The sequence below is a fragment of the Homo sapiens genome, chromosome 19 (genome assembly GCF_000001405.40).
Source record: "Homo sapiens chromosome 19, GRCh38.p14 Primary Assembly".
In the NCBI taxonomy this organism is placed as follows: Eukaryota; Metazoa; Chordata; class Mammalia; order Primates; family Hominidae; genus Homo; species Homo sapiens.
This window is the reverse complement of record NC_000019.10, coordinates 40,356,636-40,376,862: the sequence shown is the minus strand read 5'-3', so window position 1 is coordinate 40,376,862 and position 20,227 is coordinate 40,356,636. Positions and strand designations below refer to the sequence as shown.

The 20,227-nt window shown below is 51.6% G+C and overlaps 1 protein-coding gene and 1 non-coding gene across 4 annotated transcripts in view, besides 2 other annotated features; both read right to left on the bottom strand.

Moving 5' to 3' along the window:
- Positions 1 to 20,227, bottom strand: part of PLD3 (phospholipase D family member 3) — a 29,791-nt gene that overhangs the window by 1,623 nt on the left and 7,941 nt on the right. The window contains exons 1-11 of one of the 3 annotated variants that reach the window (NM_001291311.2): positions 17,168 to 17,221; positions 10,933 to 11,145; positions 10,353 to 10,444; positions 10,179 to 10,253; positions 9,948 to 10,090; positions 8,984 to 9,167; positions 6,835 to 6,955; positions 6,626 to 6,753; positions 4,990 to 5,190; positions 2,243 to 2,382; positions 89 to 254 (exon numbers count right to left, since the gene is read on the bottom strand). In NM_001291311.2, coding sequence (NP_001278240.1) covers positions 89 to 254; positions 2,243 to 2,382; positions 4,990 to 5,190; positions 6,626 to 6,753; positions 6,835 to 6,955; positions 8,984 to 9,167; positions 9,948 to 10,090; positions 10,179 to 10,253; positions 10,353 to 10,379 — 1,185 coding nt within the window. In that variant the 5' untranslated portion in view covers positions 10,380 to 10,444; positions 10,933 to 11,145; positions 17,168 to 17,221. Of the gene's footprint in view, positions 1 to 88; positions 255 to 2,242; positions 2,383 to 4,989; positions 5,191 to 6,625; positions 6,754 to 6,834; positions 6,956 to 8,983; positions 9,168 to 9,947; positions 10,091 to 10,178; positions 10,254 to 10,352; positions 10,445 to 10,932; positions 11,146 to 11,277; positions 11,311 to 17,167; positions 17,222 to 20,227 lie in introns of those variants that run through there. The other 2 variants (NM_012268.4, NM_001031696.4) reach the window with 2 other exon arrangements.
- Positions 4,787 to 5,081: an enhancer, noted in NCBI's record as "tiled region #12346; K562 Activating DNase matched - State 5:Enh". NCBI's record gives its function as "activates a minimal TATA promoter and a strong SV40 promoter by Sharpr-MPRA in K562 cells {active_cell/tissue: K562}" and the evidence as "EXISTENCE:reporter gene assay evidence [ECO:0000049][PMID:27701403]".
- On the bottom strand, positions 6,956 to 7,017 carry MIR6796 (microRNA 6796). Its single transcript, NR_106854.1, has one exon. It is a non-coding gene; the product is annotated as a microRNA 6796 (primary transcript).
- Positions 8,752 to 8,917: a silencer, noted in NCBI's record as "fragment chr19:40873853-40874018 (GRCh37/hg19 assembly coordinates)". NCBI's record gives its function as "represses an EF-1alpha promoter that drives an FKBP-Casp9 reporter gene in an ReSE screen in K562 erythroleukemia cells {active_cell/tissue: K562}" and the evidence as "EXISTENCE:reporter gene assay evidence [ECO:0000049][PMID:32094911]".

Here is a 20,227-nt window from a genome sequence, read left to right as displayed (position 1 = left end):
CTTGTCATTGACAGACGAGTCCCATGAGGGCTGTGTCCCTAGGACTGCCCCACACAGGGGCCAAGGGGTGGCTTGGGGCAGTACTTACCACCTGGATGTCAGAGTGGGTATGGTTGTCACGCAGGGCAGCCAGAGAGAGCAGGAAGGCCCGCATGGATGGCTCCGAGTGTCCCCAGCAGCTGATGAGCAGGCGCACCTTGACGCCACGCTCGTAGGTGGCCCGCCGCAGCCCATCGTCAATGGCAGGCCAGAACCTGAGGACGGGTGTATAGGAGGTGGGGCAGGATGCAGAGGGCGGCTGTGTCCACAGGCTTTGCCCTCAGCTTTGGGGAACCAAGCCTGGGCCCTGCTTTAGCTATTGAGAGGACTTCCTCATCGCTGGCTCCCAGACCCTGTTCCTGTCTCCATAAATCCCACATCCCTATTTCCTCTTCCTGGCTGTGGCTCCCATTCCTGCTCCCCAAAACCCAGTGTTGTCATCCTCTTTTATTCTTTCTTTTTTTTTTTGAGGTGGAATTTCGCTCTTGTTGCCCACGCTGGAGTGCAATGGCACAATCTCGGCTCACTGCAACCTCTGCCTCCTGGGTTCAAGCGATTCTCCTGCCTCAGCCTCCCGGGTAGCTAGGATTACAGGCATGCGCTACCACGCCTGGCTAATTTTGTATTTTTAGTAGAGACGGGGTTTCTCCATGTTTGTCAGGCTGGTCTCGAACTCCCGACCTCAGGTGATCTGCCCGCCTTGGCCTCCCAAAGTGCTGGGATTACAGGCGTGAGCCACTGTGCCCGGTCCATCCTCTTTTTTTTCTTTTTGAGACAGGTTCTTGCTCTATCACCCAGGCTGGAGTGTAGTGGCACGACCATAGCTCAATGCAGCCTCCAACTCCTGGGCTCAAGTGATCCTCCTGCCTCAGTCTCCTGAGTAGCTGGGACTGCAGGTGAGTGCCACCGCACTGGGCTAATCTTCCAATTTTTCTATAGAGACGGGGTCTCATTATGTTGCCCAGGCTGGTCTCAAACTCCTAGGGATCCTTCCGCCTCGGCCTCCCAAAGTGTTGGGATTACAGGCGTGAGCCACCATGCCTGGACCCACTGTCTTATCTACTGCCCCTAGAATACCTTCTTTGAGCCCCACAAGTGCCATCATCCACCTGGATGTTGCAGTGGGTATGGTTGTTATCCTTCTTTTTTTTTTTCTTTTCTTTTTTTTTTTTTTGAGAAGGTGTCTCGCTCCGTCGCCCAGGCTGGAGTGCAGTGGCATGATCTTGGCTCACTGCAACCTCCGACTCCCGGGTTCAAGCGATTCTCCTGCCTCAGCCTCCCAAGTAGCTGGGACTACAGGCGCCTGCCACCACACCTGGCTAATTTTTTGTATTTTTAGTAGAGACGGGGCTTCACCATGTTGGCCAGGATGGTCTCGATCTCCTGACCTCGTGATCCACCCGCCTCAGCCTCCCAAAGTGCTGGGATTACAGGTGTGAGCCACCACGTCCGGCCGGTTGTTATCCTTCTTATCCCAGGATCACAAATCCCCAAGCTTGCTACCCTAAACCCAAATACTTTTAGTCCCCATCCCCCAAGCCCCTCATCCTGTTTCCAGCCCATGCCTCCTACCTCCCCAAATCCCACATCCTGCACCCCTGCCTCAGGCTTCCTGCCCTCAACCCCAATATTCTGAGCCTTCTCTTTTTTTTTGTTGTTTTTTTGAGACAGAGTCTTGCTCTGTCTGTCGCACAGGCTGGAGAGCAGTGGCGCGATCTCAACTCACTGCAACCTTCACCTCCCAGGTTCAAGCAATTCTCCTGCCTCAGCCTCTCAAGTAGCTGGGATTACAAGCACGTGCCACCACGCCCGGCTAATTTTTGTATTTTTAGGAGAGATGGGATTTCACCATGTTAGCCAGGCTGGTCTTGAACTCCTGACCTCAAGTGATCCACCCACCTCAGCCCCGCAAAATGTTGGGATTACAGGCGTGAGCCACCACGCCCGGCCCTCTCATCCTTTTCTCTGTTCCCTCAAACCTTGTCCTGAAACCTCATCCCTGTCTCCTCTGTAATCTCTCTTTCTCCTGTCTCAAGTGCCTAGATACCTTCTTCCGGTCACCTCCTGGTGACTGTCTCTCCCTGCAGCTTCTCTTCCATCTGTCCCCTTGCCTGGAGCCCCCACCAGCTTTCTGGTCTCCATGATTCCCTCTCCCGTCTCCTGGCCAACTGCAGCGGCTCCCTATCTCCACACCCAGCAGTACCTGTGAGGGTGGGAGAACTCCAGAGTGGGCAGGTAGTTCATGACAGCGACGTAGATGAAACTCCGGGCATTGTCCACCACGTTGAGTAGAGCCTTCAGGTCTGGAGTGCGGCCACTTGGACACAGGGGTGGGGGCGCACTCTGAGGGCGAGGGGACAGTTAAGACATGTGCCCTGCCAGGGTCATCGTCACAACGGACCCCACATACGGACAGCTCACCACAAGCCAGGTACTGTGGATCTCACCAAATCCTCAGCCTCCATGAAGAAGAGGGTCAATCACCACATCCATTTCACATGTGAGGAAACTGAGGCTCAGAGAGGGTAAGTGACTTACTTAAAGTCACACAGCAGATAAATGGAGCCAGGATTCGAACCCAGGCTGTCTGGTTCCAGAATTTATGCTCTAACCCAGTGCTTCTCAACGTAAGGTCCCTGATCCAGCGGCAACAGCATCACCTGGGAACTTGTTAGAAATGCAAATTCCTGGGCCTCACTGCACATGGCCTACTGAATCAGAGTGCTGGGGTGGGGTCCAGGAATCTGGGTTTTAACAAGCCCGCCCAGCTGATTCTGGGGCATGCTCAGTTTGAGGACCTCTGCTCAAGTCTTTTTTTTTTTTTTTTTTTTTGAGATGGAGTCTTGCTCTGTCTCCTAGGCTGGAGTGCAGTGGCATGATCTCAGCTCATTGCAACCTCTGCTGCCTCTTGGGTTCAAGCGATTCTCCTGCCTCAGCCTCCCAAGTAGCTGGGACTACAGGCGTACATCACCATAGCCAGCTAATTTTTTTGTATTTTTAGTGGAGATGGGATTTCACCATGTTGGCCAGGCAGGTCTCGAACTCCTGACCTCAGGCAATCCACCTGCCTAGGCCTCCCAAAGTGCTGGGATTACAGGCGTGAGCCACTGTGCCCAGCCTCGAGTCACTTTCTTCCCTGATTTGCTCACAGCCTGCCTTGACTGGGAACCCCTCGGGTGCCCAGTGCCTCACCAGGCCCTCTTCCCAGTTCCCCCGCTCCCCCGCTTCCCCCCCTTTTTTTTTTTTTGAAGTGGAGTCTCACTCTGTCACCCAGCCTGGAGGGCAATGGTGCAATCTCGGCTCCCTGCAACCTCTACCTCCTGGGTTCAAGTGATTCTCCTGCCTCAGCCTCCCGAGTAGCTGGGATTACAGGTGCCCGCCACCCCTCCAGGCTAATTTTTGTATTTTTGGTAGAGATGGGGTTTCATCACGTTTCCCAGGCTGGTCTCCAACCCCTGAGCTCAAGTGATCCGCCCATCCTGGACTCCCAAAATGCTAGGATTACAGGCATGAGCCACTGTGCCTGGCCCCCCATCTTCCTTAATGCTCAAGAGACAAGGAAACTGAGGCTCTAAAAGGGGAAGTGGTAATGAGGAGAGCCTTGATCCCCTGCGGGAGGCCCTTGTAGTGAAAGACCCCAATGAGTCACACTTCCCTACGTCCACGCCTTAGGGTTGTGCCTTCCACGATGACTCTGGGCTTGGACAGGTAACTTGCTCAGGGGGACCTAGGGAGACCTGGGTTGCCTGCCTCAACTAGTGAAACTATCAAGAGCTAGAAACATCAGTGCCTTGTCCAGAGTGATCAGTATCTGCCATGGCGAGAGCCAGTGTTGTCCAACAGAGCCTGTCACAGTGATGGAAATGTCCAATATGGTGGTCACTTGCTACAGGTGCTACTGAGCATATGAAATGTGGCTACTGCATGAGGAACTGAATTTTTTCTTTTTTTGGAGACAGGGCAACAGCCTCTTGCCCAGGCTGGAGTGCAGTGGTACAATCAGCTCACGCAGCCTCAAACTCCTGGGCTCAAGTGATCCCCCTGTCTTAGCCTCCCCAGGGACTACAGGTGCACACAACCACACCCGGCTAATTTTAATTAATATTATGTTTTTGTAGAAATGGTGTCTCCCTAGTTCTTGGGTATCCTATCTAGAACAATAAATAATAAGACCAAAAAAAAAAAAAAAATAGAAAGAAATGATGTCTCCCTATGTTGCCCAGGCTGGTCATGAACTCCTGGCCTCAAGTGATCCTCCCATCTTGGCCTTGGCCTCCCAAAGTGCTGGGATTACAGGGATGAGAAACCATGCCTGGCTTGAAACAATTTTTTTTTGAAACAGGCTGTCACCCAGGCTGGAGTACAGTGGTGTGATCATGGCTCACTGCAGCCTAGATTTCCTGGGCTCAAGTGATCCCCCTGCCTCAGCCTCCTGCGTAGCTGTGACTACATGCATGCACAACCCAACCCAGCTAGTTTTGTTTGTTTGTTTGTTTGTTTGTAAAGATGGAGTCTTGCTATGTTGTCCAGGCTGGTCTCAAACTCCTGGCCTCAAGTGATCCTGTCACCTCAACCTCCCAAAGTATTGGGATTACAGGCATAAGCCACCCCACTTGGCCTGAATTGTTAATTGCATTTAATTAACTTAAACTGAAAGAGCCACCTGTGGCTATACTGGATGATATAGAGCACCAAAGGTTTGGTGTGCATGAACCCAGGGTACCTCTCCCAGCAGCCCTAACAGGTTGGAAACAATACCCATTTTCTAACTGAAATAGAGGCCGAGGGATGTTGGGAACTACTCCAGGCCCCTGACCAAGCAGAATGAGCTGGGGTGAGAACTGATGGTCAGGATACGCCCTCCCTGTCATCACCAAACAGGGACAGATGGAGGCTGTGAGTGACGGCATGGGGCTGGGACATGACAGGCCCCACTTGCCCCAGACTCACCGCCAGGTAGGCCAGAGCAGGGGTTCCATTGAGGCAGATCTCCATTGGTGTCTCTTGGTTGTAGCGGGTGTCATAGAACCGGGGCCAAGTTGATGGGATGGAGCTGCCTGCCTGGCCCAGGAACCAGTAGGCCTCAAAGATCTTGGTCAGGTCTCGAGCCAGGCAGCTGCAGTTGTACATGACCACGCCCAGCTCCTTGACCTGTAGGAGGGCAGTGCTGAGCTCAGCGATAGCGGCCTAGTGCTCACAGATGACAGGGACACTCCCCAGTCTGGTCTCTGTCTTTCCCCCTGTCCCACAGTACCCCCTCCACCCCAGCTCCAATAGCTAAAGTCCTAGAATGATTATCAACTTAAGTTTTGATGAAAATCAGTTATTCCAAAGCTCCAGGTTTCCTGAACGTTTGCAATCTGCTGTTGCTTCTACCCTCCACTGAGCTAGCTTCTACTCATTCTTAGGTCTAGGCTGACATGTTGCCTCCTTCAGGAAGCCTCCCATGACTACCCAGCCTGCACCAGGCATTCCTCTGGGCTCTCACAGTCCCTTGGGATTCCCTCCTCATTCTTTCTGGTGACAAACTGGTCTTCCCATTGGGCTGGGAGGACAGGCACTAGGGATGTCTCAGTCACAGCTATATCTACAGCATCTCCCTGCATAATTGCTGAGATTAAAGGTTAGGGGAACTATCTGTTGAGGAAATGAATTCATGAGTTATTGTCCTGTCTTATCTTCACCTCATTGCCCAAGCTGTTTCCTGTTCCATCTTGCGCTAATTCCTCCCTATCCTTCAGGGATCAGATTAGTTATACCTCCTTTGGGAAACCCTCCAATGCCCCAGGTTGGGGTCTCTGAGCTTCCACAGCCCTCTGTTCCCTCCATCCTGGCCCTGACCCTCTGCCTGTGTCTCCCCAACCCCGGCCCTGACCCCTCTGGGCTGTCACTGTCAGGTGACAGGCCAGTCTGCATTGGGCTGGGAGTTCCATGAGGTCCATCTGTTACCACCATGTTCCCAACATTACCCAGGATAGGGCTGGACTTAGAGCAGGCACACAGAGATGTACAATGAAGATCAAATGGGTGCGCAGGTTCTTGAATGCCATGTAGAGGGGCTGGTAGCTGCAATTGGGGATCAGAGGGAGCCCCAGGCTTCCAGGAGCAGGGGGAGGGCAGTAGAGGGCTCCATTTAGGGATTCTTTGTTTTGTAACAGGGTCTCACTCTGTCACTCAGGCTGGAGTGCAGTGGCATGAATACAACCCACTGTAGCCTCAAACTCCTGGGCTCAAGTGATCCTCCCACCTCAGTCTCCCAAGGAGCTGGGACCAGAGGTGTGTGCCACCACACCGGGCTTATTTTTTTTTTTTTGGTAGAGATGGGGTCTCACTATGTTGCCCAGGCTGGTCTCCAACTCCTGGGCTCAAGCAATCCTCCCACCTTGGCCTCCCAAAGTGTTGAGATTATAGGTGTGAGCCACCGTGCATGGCTTGGATTAGGGAGGCCTGGTAGGAGGCAAGAAGGAAGCCATTACAGAGAATGGGTGGAGAGGACTCTGGATTGAGTGAGGGATGCAGTCGGAGGCTGGGTGCCCTGTGGGGCAGGGAGTGGCCTGGAAGGAAGGTAGACAGGGTGCAGACAGACCTGGGTCAGTGAACGCCAGTCCATGTTGGCACTGCCCAGGTAGAAGTGGGTCTGGTCCACCACCCAGAACTTGGTATGCAGGACGCCATGGGTCAGCTTCTGCATGTCCACCATGCGGACCTGGGCACCTGTGACCAGCAGGGGCAGAGATCAGGGGCCAGGCTGGGTACCCCCAGGCCCAGACCAGCCCCAGTTGGGCCCCAGCTCACCGCTCTGCAGCAGAGCCTGCAGGTCCGCCTGTGGCTGGGGCCCGCTGGGCTTGCTCACAGCGATGCGGACGTTCACGCCCTTTGGTGCCAGGGTCTGCAGCTGCCGGAGGACCTCCTCACCCTGCGGGGAGGGGAGAGCTTCTGAGGGGCTGGACCAGCCAGCTCTCCAACCCCACAAGGTAATGCCCGGTGGAGTTATTTTGAGACATGATTAGGAGTAAACAGACTTTACATTAGCCTGCATAGATTAAAGACTTTACAGATTAAAATATTAAAAGACTTCCTTATCTGTTTTAAACATCTTTATCTGCTTTAATAATTAGTTGCCCTGTGATCCCCCTCCAAGTCCTCCTGACCCCTCCTGCCCCTCCAGGGACTTTCTCAAAATTCAGCATCAAGGCAGGGCCTCCAGGCATCTCCCAGTATGGTGGGGGCGAGGCTCAGGCAGGGGGTCCTGGAAGGTATCGGGTGAGGCACGATGATGCCAACAACAGCAACAGTCAAGGATGCCCTGGAACCTACTGTGTGCCAGGCCCTGTTCTAGGCCTCTTCTCAGCGAACTCACTGAATTCTCACAACCCAGTGAGGCTGGTTTAATTATAATCCCCACAGAGAACTCAGTAGTGGAGTGGGATTTTGTTTTTGTTTTTTTGTTTGTTTGTTTGTTGAGACAGGGACTTGCTATGTTGCCCAGGCTGATCTTCAATCCCTGGGCTCAAGCATTCCGCCTGCCTCAGTCTCCCAAGTAGCTAGTACCTCAGGAGTGCACCACCACATCCAGCTATGGAGCAGGATTTGAACCCAGACCATCTGCCTCCTACATCTGTGTTTTAAACCACTTTAGAGGGAGCCAGCAGGGAGTGGGAGCTCATACGGTTTTTTAACATAAAAAAATTTTTTTTTAGAGACAGGGTTTCACTATGTTGCCCAGGCTAGAGTGCAGTGGCATGATCACAGCTCACTGCAGCCTCCAATTCCTAGGCTCAAGTCATTCTCCTGCTTCAGCCTCCCAAGTAGCTGGGACCACAGGTGTGTACCACTATGCCTGGCTTTGGTTTTTAACTTTTGTAATTATTATTATTACTTTTTCTTTTTCTTTTTTTTGAGACAGGGTCTTGCTATGTTGCCTGGGCTGGAGTGTAGTGGCATGATCACGGCTCGCTGCAGCCTCCAACTCCTGGGCTCAAGCCATCCTCCTCCTTCCATCTCCTGAGTATCTGAGACTGCAGGCATGCACCACAACACCCTCCTAATTTTTTTTTATTTTTAGTAGAGATGGTTGAGGGGAGGTGGGGGGCGGGTCTCACTATGTTGCTCAGGCTAGTCTCGAACTCTTGGGCTCCAGTGATCCTCCTGTCTAGGCCTCCCAAAGTGCTGGGATTACAGGTGTGAATCACCACACTTGGCCATAATTATTTTTTTCAGGCAGTTCTTAAGGAGCCTTGTAATTTTAGTTAAGTTTTAAGACAACTTCTCACAAAAAGAGCCAGTAGGGAGAAGAAAACAGAAGGAACAAATTCATGGTTTTTCAATGGAAGAGGTTATCCATGTAGGCTGTTCCTTTTCAAATTGTGAAGCTTTTATGTTCTTTAAGTTTGTCTGCAGACCATACCAGGATATATAGTAACAGCAGACTCACAAAGGCTGACTCTGTGCCAGGCACTGTGCTAAAATTTGCATGGATTAGTCCATTTCATCCTCACAAGAGCCCTAAGAAGCAGGTGCTATAAATTGGCCCCATTTTACAGATAAAGAAACTGAAGCTGGAGAGAAGAGGTGGCCTGCCTGGGGTCACACAGCTGGGAGGTGGCCCCTGTCTTGAGGCTGGGCTGTTAATTACTCCACTCTTCCCTTTCTTTGTGTGACTGGGTCAGGACAGCTTGTGGGTGAGTGACATCTGCCAGCCTAATAATCCCTTGTAACCAAACCCGCACCCTGACATTCAGAGGCCTACAGATGACCGTGACAAACGCCCCCAGTCCAGAGAGCCACGTGACGACAGCTGCTTGCAAACACCTGTGTCCAATCTGCTGTGTGAGACACACCCCTCTGTCTCCTGGGCTGCAGGAGAAACCCCTTCATTCCCCACAGCCCCCGCTGCCTCCCACCCCCTGCCCCTGCTGCCGGCCAGGGCCAAGGTTGCAGGTACCTGCTGGGCAGAGGGCTCCTGCGTGTGGGTGTCATTGTTGGTGAGGGTCCAGTAGAAGGAGGCGATGTCCAGGCTGCTGTGCGCACCGGCGAGCAGGCCCAGCCAGGCCTGGCTGGTGGAAGGGTTCCCCGTGGAGGCATTGGGGAAGTCCAGGCCCTCAGGAATGCTTTCCACCAGCACTGCTCTGGGGGGTGGGGGATGCTATCAGCCATACGGTGCCGGAGAGCAAGGGCTGGGAGGTGAGTGCTCAGCTGTCCGTCCATGGGTGTGTTGGATAGACTGTATTTTTTTTTTTTTAGAGACAGAGTCTTGCCCTGTCCCCCAGGCTGGAAGCGCAGTGGCGCCATCTCAGCTCACTGCAGCCTCGAACCCCTGGGCTCAAGCGATCCTCCCGCCTCAACCTCTTGAGTAGCTGGGACTACAGGTGTGCACCAGTATGCCTGGTTACTTTTTTTACTTTTAGTAGAGATGGAGCCGCACTACATTGCCCAGGCTGGTCTGGAACTCCTGGGCTCAAGCAATCCTCCCGCCTCAGCCCCGCAAAGTGTTGCAATTACAGGCGTGAGCCACCAAGCCCAGCTAAACTGTATTTGAGTTTTTCTTTTCTTTTAAAAAAAATTTTTTAAAACTGTGTGTATTTGAATGCGTGCCTGGACTCATGATCCTCTGCGTGTCTGTCTAGAGGTGTGGAAGGAAGGTCGTGTATTGAGATGTGTGTGTGGGTCCACAGATGTGGGTGGAAGATGCTGTGTCTGTTCACAGGCCTGACAGAAGATGACGCTGTGGCTGCCATAGAAACTATGTGTGTGGAGGAGGAGGGGGCGGGCGAGCACTTGGGAGCCTGCAACCTCCTCACTTGTCGCAAGCGCTGGGTAGGGCTGAGTGCAGGCCCTGTTTAGTGTGTGCTTAAGTGTACCTGGTCTGGCAGGCCCCTCCCCCACCAACTGCAGCACCCCCCACTTACTCGCAAGGGTCATAGCAGGGGGCTGGGCGCTGGTTGGGCCCAAAGAGATGCAAGTCGCCGTATTCCCATAGAAACAGCTGAGTCATCAGGGCTCCGAAGCCCACAACCGCCAGAATGAGGACCAGCAGGACCCAGCGGGCTTTCTGTGGGGAGGAGGAGGTGGTCAGCCAGCCCGAGGGGGGCAGCCCAGCCTGTCTCTGAGACAGAGCGAGGGTGGCGGAGGGCTCCTACCTTTTCCGCAGCCTTCCACGCCTCAATCTCATTCATGGGCAGCTCATTGGCGGGCTCCTCTGCAGGCACCTTCAGCTGGGGATGGGGACAACAACGGGGGTGACAGGTGGCTCTTGGGAACCCCCACCCCCACTGTACCCAGTTCCACCCTGCTGAGCCCCCCAATCCACCTACCTCCTGGTACATCAGTTTAGGCTTCATCTTCCCTCAAGGCTGGGGGATACGCAGAGCCCAGGTGAGAAGGTGGGTGTGTCAGGGTCTCCAAACTGGCAGAACAAAAGTGGGCACTGTGTGGGGTGTTCTACGCTTTCCAGGGACAGACATCACAGAAGAGTGATTAGTCTTGGGGCTATTCATAATCATGGGGGCCACTGGCACACTGCCCACCACCCCAAAAAGAGGAAGCTGGTCACTGGTCAGCAGGATTTCGAAATCCCTCAAAATCCAACGCTCTGCTGCCTGCTCTTCACTCTGCAGTGCCCACCCTGCCCCCATCAGCACCCACGCAGCTCCCCTCTAGCAGCCCCCTTCTCCCTCCTCCAACCTGTAGACACCCCAAGAAAGGCAGCGCTGGATGAGGTCAGCGGAGCCCCAGGTCTTTGTGCCTGGCTTTTCTCAGCCCTGGGACAGGGGGTATATTCTAGGTGGCTCCTCCGCCCTCAGGTGCCCCCACACCACACAGCTCAGCCAGGGATCATCGGGGCCTCCCTGCCACCCCGCTGCCCATCCCCCCAGCCAGCCTCCCCCCACCTACCCCTGAGGGGCCTCGGCCTCGCTCTCAGGCGTCTGCAGCTACCTCCGGTGGGCCCCAGCTTCTGTCTGGACAGGCTGAACGAGGGTGGGAGGAGGGGGCGGGGCCTGTGGGAGCTCCGCCCACTGCAGCGGGGAGTCTGCGCAGTGCGTGCCCCAGTCCGGGCTCACCGCAGCGAGAAGCGGGGCTCGGCTCCCCAGACACGGTCGCTCCAGCCTGGCCGGGTTGGGGGGTAGTACATGGCTGGTGGATGGGCTTTGCTACATTCCACCCTAGAGTCCCCGTGTAGGGCAGGGAGGCCACAGGTAAAGAACAAAAGGAACCTCACGTCTTTTCTCATTTACAAACCTTGTGAATTTGTGTACCATGGACATGCATTACCTAGTCAAAAATAAATACATAAATGAAATTAATAAAACGCTTATAAAATGAAACGGAGAGATCATGGTTGAATAACAGAATGAAGAAAGGTAGCGATAAAGTCAACAGAAGACAGTTCACAGCATGAGATGGGAAGAAAAGGTCAGAGGAGATGGTGAATTTTCTGTTGGAGTCTATTTAGATTTTGGTATTTGATTTTTTAAAAAAAGCCAGCTGATATTTTGGTAGGGATTTAAAAAAATTTATTTTCCGATCCACCCCATCCCATATCTCCCAAGAGGGATTTAAGGCCCCGGCTGGAGAAATACACTGGAGACCCCTTTCCTCTCTCATCCCTCCTCTCCTAATTGACAGAGGGTGGCACCTCTTTTCACGGCAGGGTGGCACCTCTCTCAATGAGACAGGGACACCCTCTTCCCTCAAGCTCCCCCAAACACACATGGCAGGAAGTCAAGAGATAACTGCAGAAAAGGAGTATTACTGAGAGAAGCAACAGGGCAGAAGTGGTTGTCTTCAAGGGAGTGGGATTTTGGGGTAGGTCAAGATTGCTTTTTATTGTAAGCCTATTTTCTTTTCTTTTCTTTTCTTTTTTTAGTGCCAGAGTTCTGTTCCCTAGGCTGGAGTGCAGCAGCATGATCATAGCTCACTGCGGCCTCAACTTCCCAGGCTCAAGCAATCCTCCTGCCTCAGCCTCCCAAGCAGCTGGGACTACAGGCACGTGCCACCATGCCCAGCTGCTTTTTTTTTTTTTTTTGGAGACGCAGTCTCGCTCTGTCTCTCCCACGCTGGAGTGCAGTGGCGCCATCTCGGCTCACTGCAACCTCCACCTCCCTGGTTCGAGCAATTCGCCCACCTCAGCTTCCCGAGTAGCTGGGACTACAGGCGCCCGCCACCATGCCCGGCTAATTTTTTTTTTGTATTTTTTAGTAGAGATGGGGTTTCACCATGTTAGCCAGGATGGTCTCGATCTCCTGACCTCGTGATCCGCCCGTCTAGGCCCCCAAAAGTGCTGGGATTACAGGCATGAGCCACCGCGCCCAGCCGCAGCTAATTTTTTTTTTTTTAATTTTGTATAGACGGGGTCTTGCTTATTGCCCAGGCTGAACTCCTGGACTCAAGTGATCCTCCTACCTTGGCCTCCCAAAGTTCTGAGATTACAGGCATGAGCCACCACATCTGGCCCCTATTTTCTTTTTTCTGAGACGGAGTTTCGCTCTTTTGCCCAGGCTGGAGTGCAGTGGCACAATCTTGGTTCACTGCAACCTCCGCCTTGTGGTTTCAAGCGATTCTCCTGCCTCAGCCTCCCGAGTAGCTGGGATTACAGGCGCCTGCCACCACGACCAGCTAATTTTTGTATTTTTAGTAGAGACAGGGTTTCACCAAGTTGGCCAGGCTGGTCTCGAACTCCTGACCTCGTGATCCGCCTGCCTTGGCCTCCCAAAGTGCTGGGATTACAGGCATGAGCCACTGTGCCCAGCCTATTTTCTTTTTTAAAATTGTGAAACATAAGCTATTTTCAGAGAAGTATAGAAAATATCTCGGTGTAGGTTGAGAAATAATTATAAAGCAAACACAGGCGTCACCAGTTTCATTACCTTTTAAAAAATCAGGGGCGCGCATTACTCTTTTTTGAAAAAGAAGAAAAAGAAAACTCTCAGAGCTAGGTGCTCCCCTTACTCCAAGATCCAACCTAGATTTGTAGGGATAACTTGCAAACTCCTCCCTACCAATGTCAGATCCCAGACTGGCGAGGGTAGAACATGCTAGATCCCCTCTTTTCATGGCAGGAAGACAAATGGGGATGCCTAAAAAGGATCTAGCAGGTCGGGTGTGGTGGCTCACGCCTGTAATCCCAGCACTTTGGGAGGCCGAGGTGGGTGGATCACCTGAGGTTAGGAGTTCAAGACCAGCCTGGCCAATGTGGTGAAACCCTCTCTCTACCAAAAATGTAAAAATTAGCTGGGCGTGGTGGCGGGCGCTTGTAATCCCAGCTACTCGGGAGACTGAGGCAGGAGAATTGCTTGAACCTGGGAGGCAGAGGTTGCAGTGAGCTGAGATTGCGCCACTGCACTCCAGCCTGGGTTAAAACAGAGCGAGACTCCGTCTCAAACAAACAAACAAACAAACAAACAAACAAATCTAGCAAGAAACAGCAACAGACTAAGGTTATTTGAAACTCCAGAGGTCACTAGGAGAAGCAGAAGATAACATCAGTCTTAGAGGCGGTTGACCACAACATTGTGGGTGGAGGAGGCAGGAGGGAGTGCAGGAAATGCTTGTCTTCAATTTTCTTTGAAGGCCTTGGTGAGACATATTTTTATTGAAGAATATGGAGTTGGAACAGCAGGCAATGTGAAATTAGGGAAGCCAAGATGAAGAAAAACAAAACCGAAGGCAAGGTGGGGCATGGAGATCTGAAGTAACAGGGCTGGCAGCGTCAGGGCTGGAGAACTGGGATGGTCACTAATAAACCAAAAATAAGGAGAAAGGCCTGGCACCGTGGCTCACACCTGTAATCTCAGCACTTTGGGAGGCTGAGGTGAGAGGACTGCTTGAGCCCAGGAGTTCCAGACTAGCCTTGGCAACATAGCAAGGCCCAGTCTCTACAAGAACATAAAAAATAAAAACAAAAACAAAATAAAAATAGGAAGAAAATAGATGGACTTCGTTCAAATTGTCAGTGATGTTTTGGCTTCCAAATTGTACAGTGATTACAGGTCTGTAATGATTAGTTTAATTTTAACTTTTGATGTTTTAATTGTATTATTTTTCTTATTGTGTTAACTTTTGATTAAAAAGTAAACTAATATTGGAGGGCCAGGCACGGTGGTTTACACGTGTAATCCCAGCACTTTGGGAGGCCAAGGTGGGAGGATTGCTTGAGCCCAGGAGTTTGAGACCAGCCTGGGCAACATAGTGAGACCTAATCTCTACAACAAATGAAAGAAAATTAGCCTGGTATGATGGTGTGGACGTGTAGTTCCAACTATGTGGAAGGCTGAGGCAGGAGAATTGCTTGAATCTGGGAGGTGGAGACTGCAGTGAGCAGTGATCGCACCACCTCACTCCAGCCCAGCTGACAGAGTGAGAGCCTGTCTCATAAAAAACAAACAAATAAAAACTAGTACTGGAGAAGTGATTTCGATTGGATGAGACTGGCAAGACAATACAGTAAGTGCTAGAGCCAGATACCTGTGTTTGAATCTGAGCTTCTGCACTTAGTGACTGTTTGACCTTGGAGAAGTGACAACACCTCTGTGCTCTTGGTTTCTCCATCTGCAAAATGGGCATGGTAACAATAGCATTTGCTGTTCGTTAATTTTACACACATTTACTGGTTGCCTTGTGTGCATCAGGTATTGTTTTAGGCACTGGGGATACAGCTGTGAACAAAATAGACACGAGGGAAAAACAGAGGCCAGGCGCGGTGTCTCACGCCTGTAATGCCAGCACTTTGGGGGGCCGATGTGGGTGGATCACCTGAGGTCTGGCATTCGAGACCAGCCTGGCCAACATGGCGAAATCCCATCTCTACTAAAAATACAAAAATTAGCCGGGCGTGTTGGAGGGCGCCTGTAATCTCAGCTACTCAGGAGGCTGAGGTGGGCGAATTGCTTGAACCAGGGAGGTGGAGGTTGCAGTGAGTTGGCGCCACCGCACTCCAGCGTGGGCGACAAAGGAAACTCCGTCTCAAAAAATAAAAAAAAAAGGTGATAATAAACAAGATAATAAATAAATGATATAATGTTAGAAGGTAGTAAGTGCCATAGAGGATCAGGGAAGGGGGTGGGGGTGGAATTGTTTGTGATATTTAATAAGGAGGTCAGAAAAGGCCTCACTGAGAAGGGGATACCTGAAGAAAAACTTCAAGGTGGGGTGAGATGGACATCTGTGGGAAAAATGATCAGTACAAAGGCCCTGAGGGAGGAATGTGCCTGGTGTGGATGGAGAAGAGTGAGGATGCCAGTGTGTCTGCAGTGAAGTGGGCTGGGGGGAGTGGGAGAGGAGATGTCACAGAGGTGATAGGGCCAGATCCTGCAGGGCTGCCTGGACTGTGATGAGTAGAACAGGGTCACGTGTGGGTTCCCAGCAGGGAAGGATGATGTGATCTGCTTCAGATTTTTTTAAGAGATGGGGATCTCCACTGGGCGTGATGGCTCATGCCTGTAATCCCAGCACTTTGGGAGGCCAAGGTGGGCGGATCACCTGAGGTTGGGAGTTCGAGACCAGCCTGACCAACATGGAGAAACCCTGTCTCTACTAAAAATAAAAAATTAGCTGGGCATGGTGGCACATGCCTGTAATCCCAGCTACTCGGGATTGCTGAGGCAGGAGAATCGCTTGAACCCAGGAGGAGGAAGTTATAGTGAGCCAAGATTGCGCCATTGCACTCCAGCCTGAGTAACAAGAACGAAACTCCATCTCGAAAAAAAAAAGAGATGAGGATCTCCCTACGCTGCCCAGGCTACTCTTGAACTCCTGGCCTCAGGTGACCCTCCTGCCTTGGCCTCGCACAGTGCGGGGATTTCAGGCATGAGCCACTTCGCTGGGCTTCAGTTGGATTTTGTAGTGGGTTGAATGGTGGCCTCAAAAAAGATGTGTCCCACGCAAGCATAATCCCCGGAACTTACGTGCATGTGACCTTATTTGGAAAAAGGATCTTTGCAATTGTAATCAGATTTAGGATCTTGAGATGAGATCATCCTGGACTAACTGGATGGGCCCTAAATCCAATCACAACTGTCCTCAGAGATAGAACAGGCAGAAGGTCATGTGAACAGGGAGGCTGACATTAGGGTGATGTGGCCATAAACCCAGCAATGCCTGGAGCCACTAGAAGCTGGGAGAGGTGAGGAATGGAATCTCCCCTCCAGCTTCTGGAGGCGCATGGCCCTGCTACACCTTGAGTTTGGACTTCGGCTCCAAAACTGAGAGAATGAATTTGTTGTCTTTTTTTTTTTTTTTTTTTTTTAAGACGGAGTCTCGCTCTGTTATCCAGGCTGGAGTGCAGTGGTGCAACTTCAAATGATCGACTGTCTCGGCCTCCCAAAGTGCTGGGATTACAGGCAGGAGCCACTGCGCCTGGCCATACATTCTGTTGTGTTAAGCCACCAACTTGGTGGCAATTTGTTACAGCAGCCCGAAGAAACAAACACAGGTGTTACAGGATCCCCTGGCGGCTGTGCGTGGGGAACAGACTGGGGCAGGGCAAGGGAGCCCAGGGAGGAGGCTGCTGGGAGCATCCAGACAGGAGCCAAGGGTGGACAGGACCAGGGTGTGGTCAGCCAAGTGTCGAAGAAAGGGCGGGGTCTGGATGCATTTTGAAGGTGGAGGGGATGGCATTTCTAGGCTGGATGTGGGTTTGAGAGCAGTAAAGGAGTGAGGGATGACTGAGTTTTGGCCGCAGCAACTGCAAGGATTGGAGGTGTCAACAGCTGATTGGGCAAGACAGGGAGACACAAGTTTGGGGAAAAGACCAGGAGTTTGGTTTTGAACATACAACATTTGAGATGTCTAAAATCTGACTGACTCCTCTGAATTAAAGGAGTCAACAGGCTGGGAAAGGTGGCTCACACCTGTAATCCCTGCACTCCGGGAGGCTAAGGTTGGGGGTGGATTGCGTGAGGCCAGGAGTTCAAGACCAGCCTACACAACACAGCAGGACTCATCTCCACAAAAAGTAAAGTTTTAAAAAAGGAATTAGCACACATATAATGTGCATAGAAGAGCCCCTGACATGCAGGAGGCTCTCAGCAAAGGTGACTGTCAAGTCTCCTAACAGCTCCCCACGCAAAGGCATCCCCCATCCCACCCCCAGAGACAAGACGGTTGCTTTTCATTGTAGGTCTTTACTTACATTGAATTTTTTTAAATGCACATATAACTTCTATGGAAACTAAATTATAAAGAGGCTCAGGCTCCTAGCTAGGGTGCCCCATCACCAGATCCTAGCCTCCAGAGGACTGTGGTCTCAGCGGGAGAAGGAAATCAGGCCCCCTCCCTGCTCAGATCCTTGTGGGAGCAGGGTAGGGTGAAACTGAAGGTGGGCACGGGCAGCCGGATGCTGGAGTTCCTCCTCAGCCCGTCTCAATGCCTGTATTCTCAGGACCCTAGAACCTCCATGGGGCTCCCAGCGCGCCCCATCCAGGTTGGTACTTATGCTCTGCCTCCTTGCTGGTATGACATGAGATGAAATCAGGTCTCGGTCGGGCGCAGTGGCTCACACCTGTAATCCAGCACTTTGGGAGGCTGAGGTGGGCAAATCACCTGAGGTCGGGAGTTCAAGACCAGCCTGACCAACATGGTGAAACCCCGTCTCTACTAAAAATACAAAATTAGCCGGGCGTGGTGGCGCATGCCTGTAATCCCAGCTACTCAGGAGGCTGAGGCAGGAGAATCGCTTGAACCTGGGAGGCGGAGGTTGCAGTGAGCCAAGATTGCGCCATTGTACTCCAGCCTGGGCAAGAAGAGCAAAACTCTGTCTCAAAACAAAAAACAAAAAACAAAAAAGAGATCAGGTCTCATCTGGGAGAGGGCACTGCCAGGAAGCGTGCTCTCTCCCAGCCCACAGAATACCCCCTAGTCCCCTTGCCTTGTGGTCCTGCCCCCCTTGGAGTATGACACCATAGCCCGCAAAAAGGAGGAAGTAAAACCCACTGGGTCACAGATCCCTGAACACCCCACCCCCAGGGGAGGGTGGCAGTGGGAGATTTGATTCCTCCTCTACAGCAGCCCTTTAAATTGGAGAGCTCATGGTTCAGATCACACCTCTGCCACTTTCTTGCTGAGTGATGCTGAGCATGGGGCTTTACTTCTGAGCCCTGCTGGCCTCATCTATAAACCAGTATTAGCCATATTGGCAGGGCGCAGTGGCTTATGCCTATAATCCCAGCACTTTGGGAGGCCAAGGCGGGAGGATGGCTTGAGCTCAGGAGTTTGAGACCAGTTGGGGCAACAAGGTGTGACCCCATCTCTACAAAAACTTAAAAAATTGGCTAGGCGGCTGGGCACGGTGGCTCATGCCTGTAATCCCAGCACTTTGGGAGGCCAAGATGGGTGGATCACCTGAGGTCAGGAGTTCGAGACCAGCCTGGCCAACATGGTGAAACCTCGTCTCTACCAAAAATACAAAAATTAGCCTGGCATGGTGGCAGGCTACTCGGGAGGCTGAGGTCCAAGAATCGCTTGAACCTGGGAGGCAGAGGTTGCAGTGAGCCGAGATTGCATCATTGCATGCCAGTCTGGGCAACAAGAGCGAAACTCCATCTCAAAAACAAACAAACAAAAAGATAATTGGCTAGGTGTGGTAGCCCATGCCTACGCCTGTGGTCCCAGCCACTTGGGAGGCTGAGGTGGGACCACTGCTTGAGTCCAGGAGGTCAAGGCTGCAGTGAGCCGTGATTGTGCCACTGCACTCCAGCCTGGGCGACAGAGCAAGACACGGTCTCAAAACAACAAATGAAATGGGTATCATCTTATATGCACTGGAGGGTGGTGGCTGGGGGATCTCTGAATGGTTAAGGGGGTGGGTCTCAGAGTCCCACAGCTCAGACTTCAGATCTCAGCTCTGTGGAACTGGGAAAAGAGGTTCCCTTCTCTAAGCCACACTTTCATTCTTTGAACAATGTGGAGATTAATAATACCAACCTCACATTTGTTGGGAAGTCAATGAGATCATCCATGGAAGGCAGGAAGCACAGTAAGCCCTTGAAACATGCTAGTTGGTGAGATCTGTGTACGCCCTCGTATCTTGTATACATTTTAATCACACATAATCAACATATGTGTCCCTTGCTATGTCCGTGTCTGATTTATTCCTCTAGCTCTAGGGCCCAGACCATTGTAATTGCTCAAAAAATACTGAAAGCAGAAGAAATGGAGCAGCAGAATAGAAAATTTTGAGAGGAGATTATTTTAGATGTCTCTCTATACCTAGTGACACTTTTATACACAATGATAACCAGCTGGTATCAGTTCTAAGCCCAGAGCATATAGGGTGGGTGCAGATAATGGCATCTCAACCTGAGATTCAGGCTGAGAGGGTGGGGAAAAAGTCAAGGCTGATTCAAGCCATCTGAGAATGCAGAGTGTGCTTCTGAAGCCTACATACAGGAAACATGAGGCAGATCACACCACAGGAGACATTTACAAATCCACAGGCTGGCCAGGAGCAGTAGCTCACATCTGTAATTCCAGCACTTTGGTAGGCTGAAGTGGGAGGATCGCTTGAGCCCAGCAGTTCGAGACTAGCCTGGGCAACAGAGCGAGACCCCTGTCTCTAATTTTAAAAATAACAAAATAAAATAAAATTCACGGGGCTTCCAAATGGTTTAAAACAGAAATGTTCTCATGTTTAATGGTGCTGATTTTCACTAGATGGTACAGACCTCTTTGGACTAAACCATCAATTGTTTCTGACCTCTTTGGACTGAACCATCAATTGTCTACAGAAAACGGAACAGAACACTGGTTTTGCAAACTGATTTTTCATTTTCAGCAGTTAGATCTTTTATTTCAACGGACCCTTTAAAATAAGTGCCCCTCCTAGGGAGAGAAGTCAGTCAGTCTGAAAAACAATTAAATAGGTCCAAAAAGCATCATGAATGATAAACACTTCTGAACTGGAACTTAAAAACCCTAAGCTGTCTCACTCCTGCTCAAAATCCTTCTGTGGCTCCCCATTGCCCCCAGGACAAAGGACAAACTTCTTACCATGTCCTACAGAGCCCTACATGGACAGGCCCCTGTGGACCTTCCCCCATCATTACAGCTTCAATTCCCTCTTTCTCAACCCAAAGCTCTGTCTTGTTTCCTCCTTTCCCCTGACTCCAGCTCTAGAGGTTCCAGGGCCCCCCAGATACCTCCTTCAAGGTGTCCCCAGACTCCCACACCTACTATGTCCCCAACTGTCCTTACC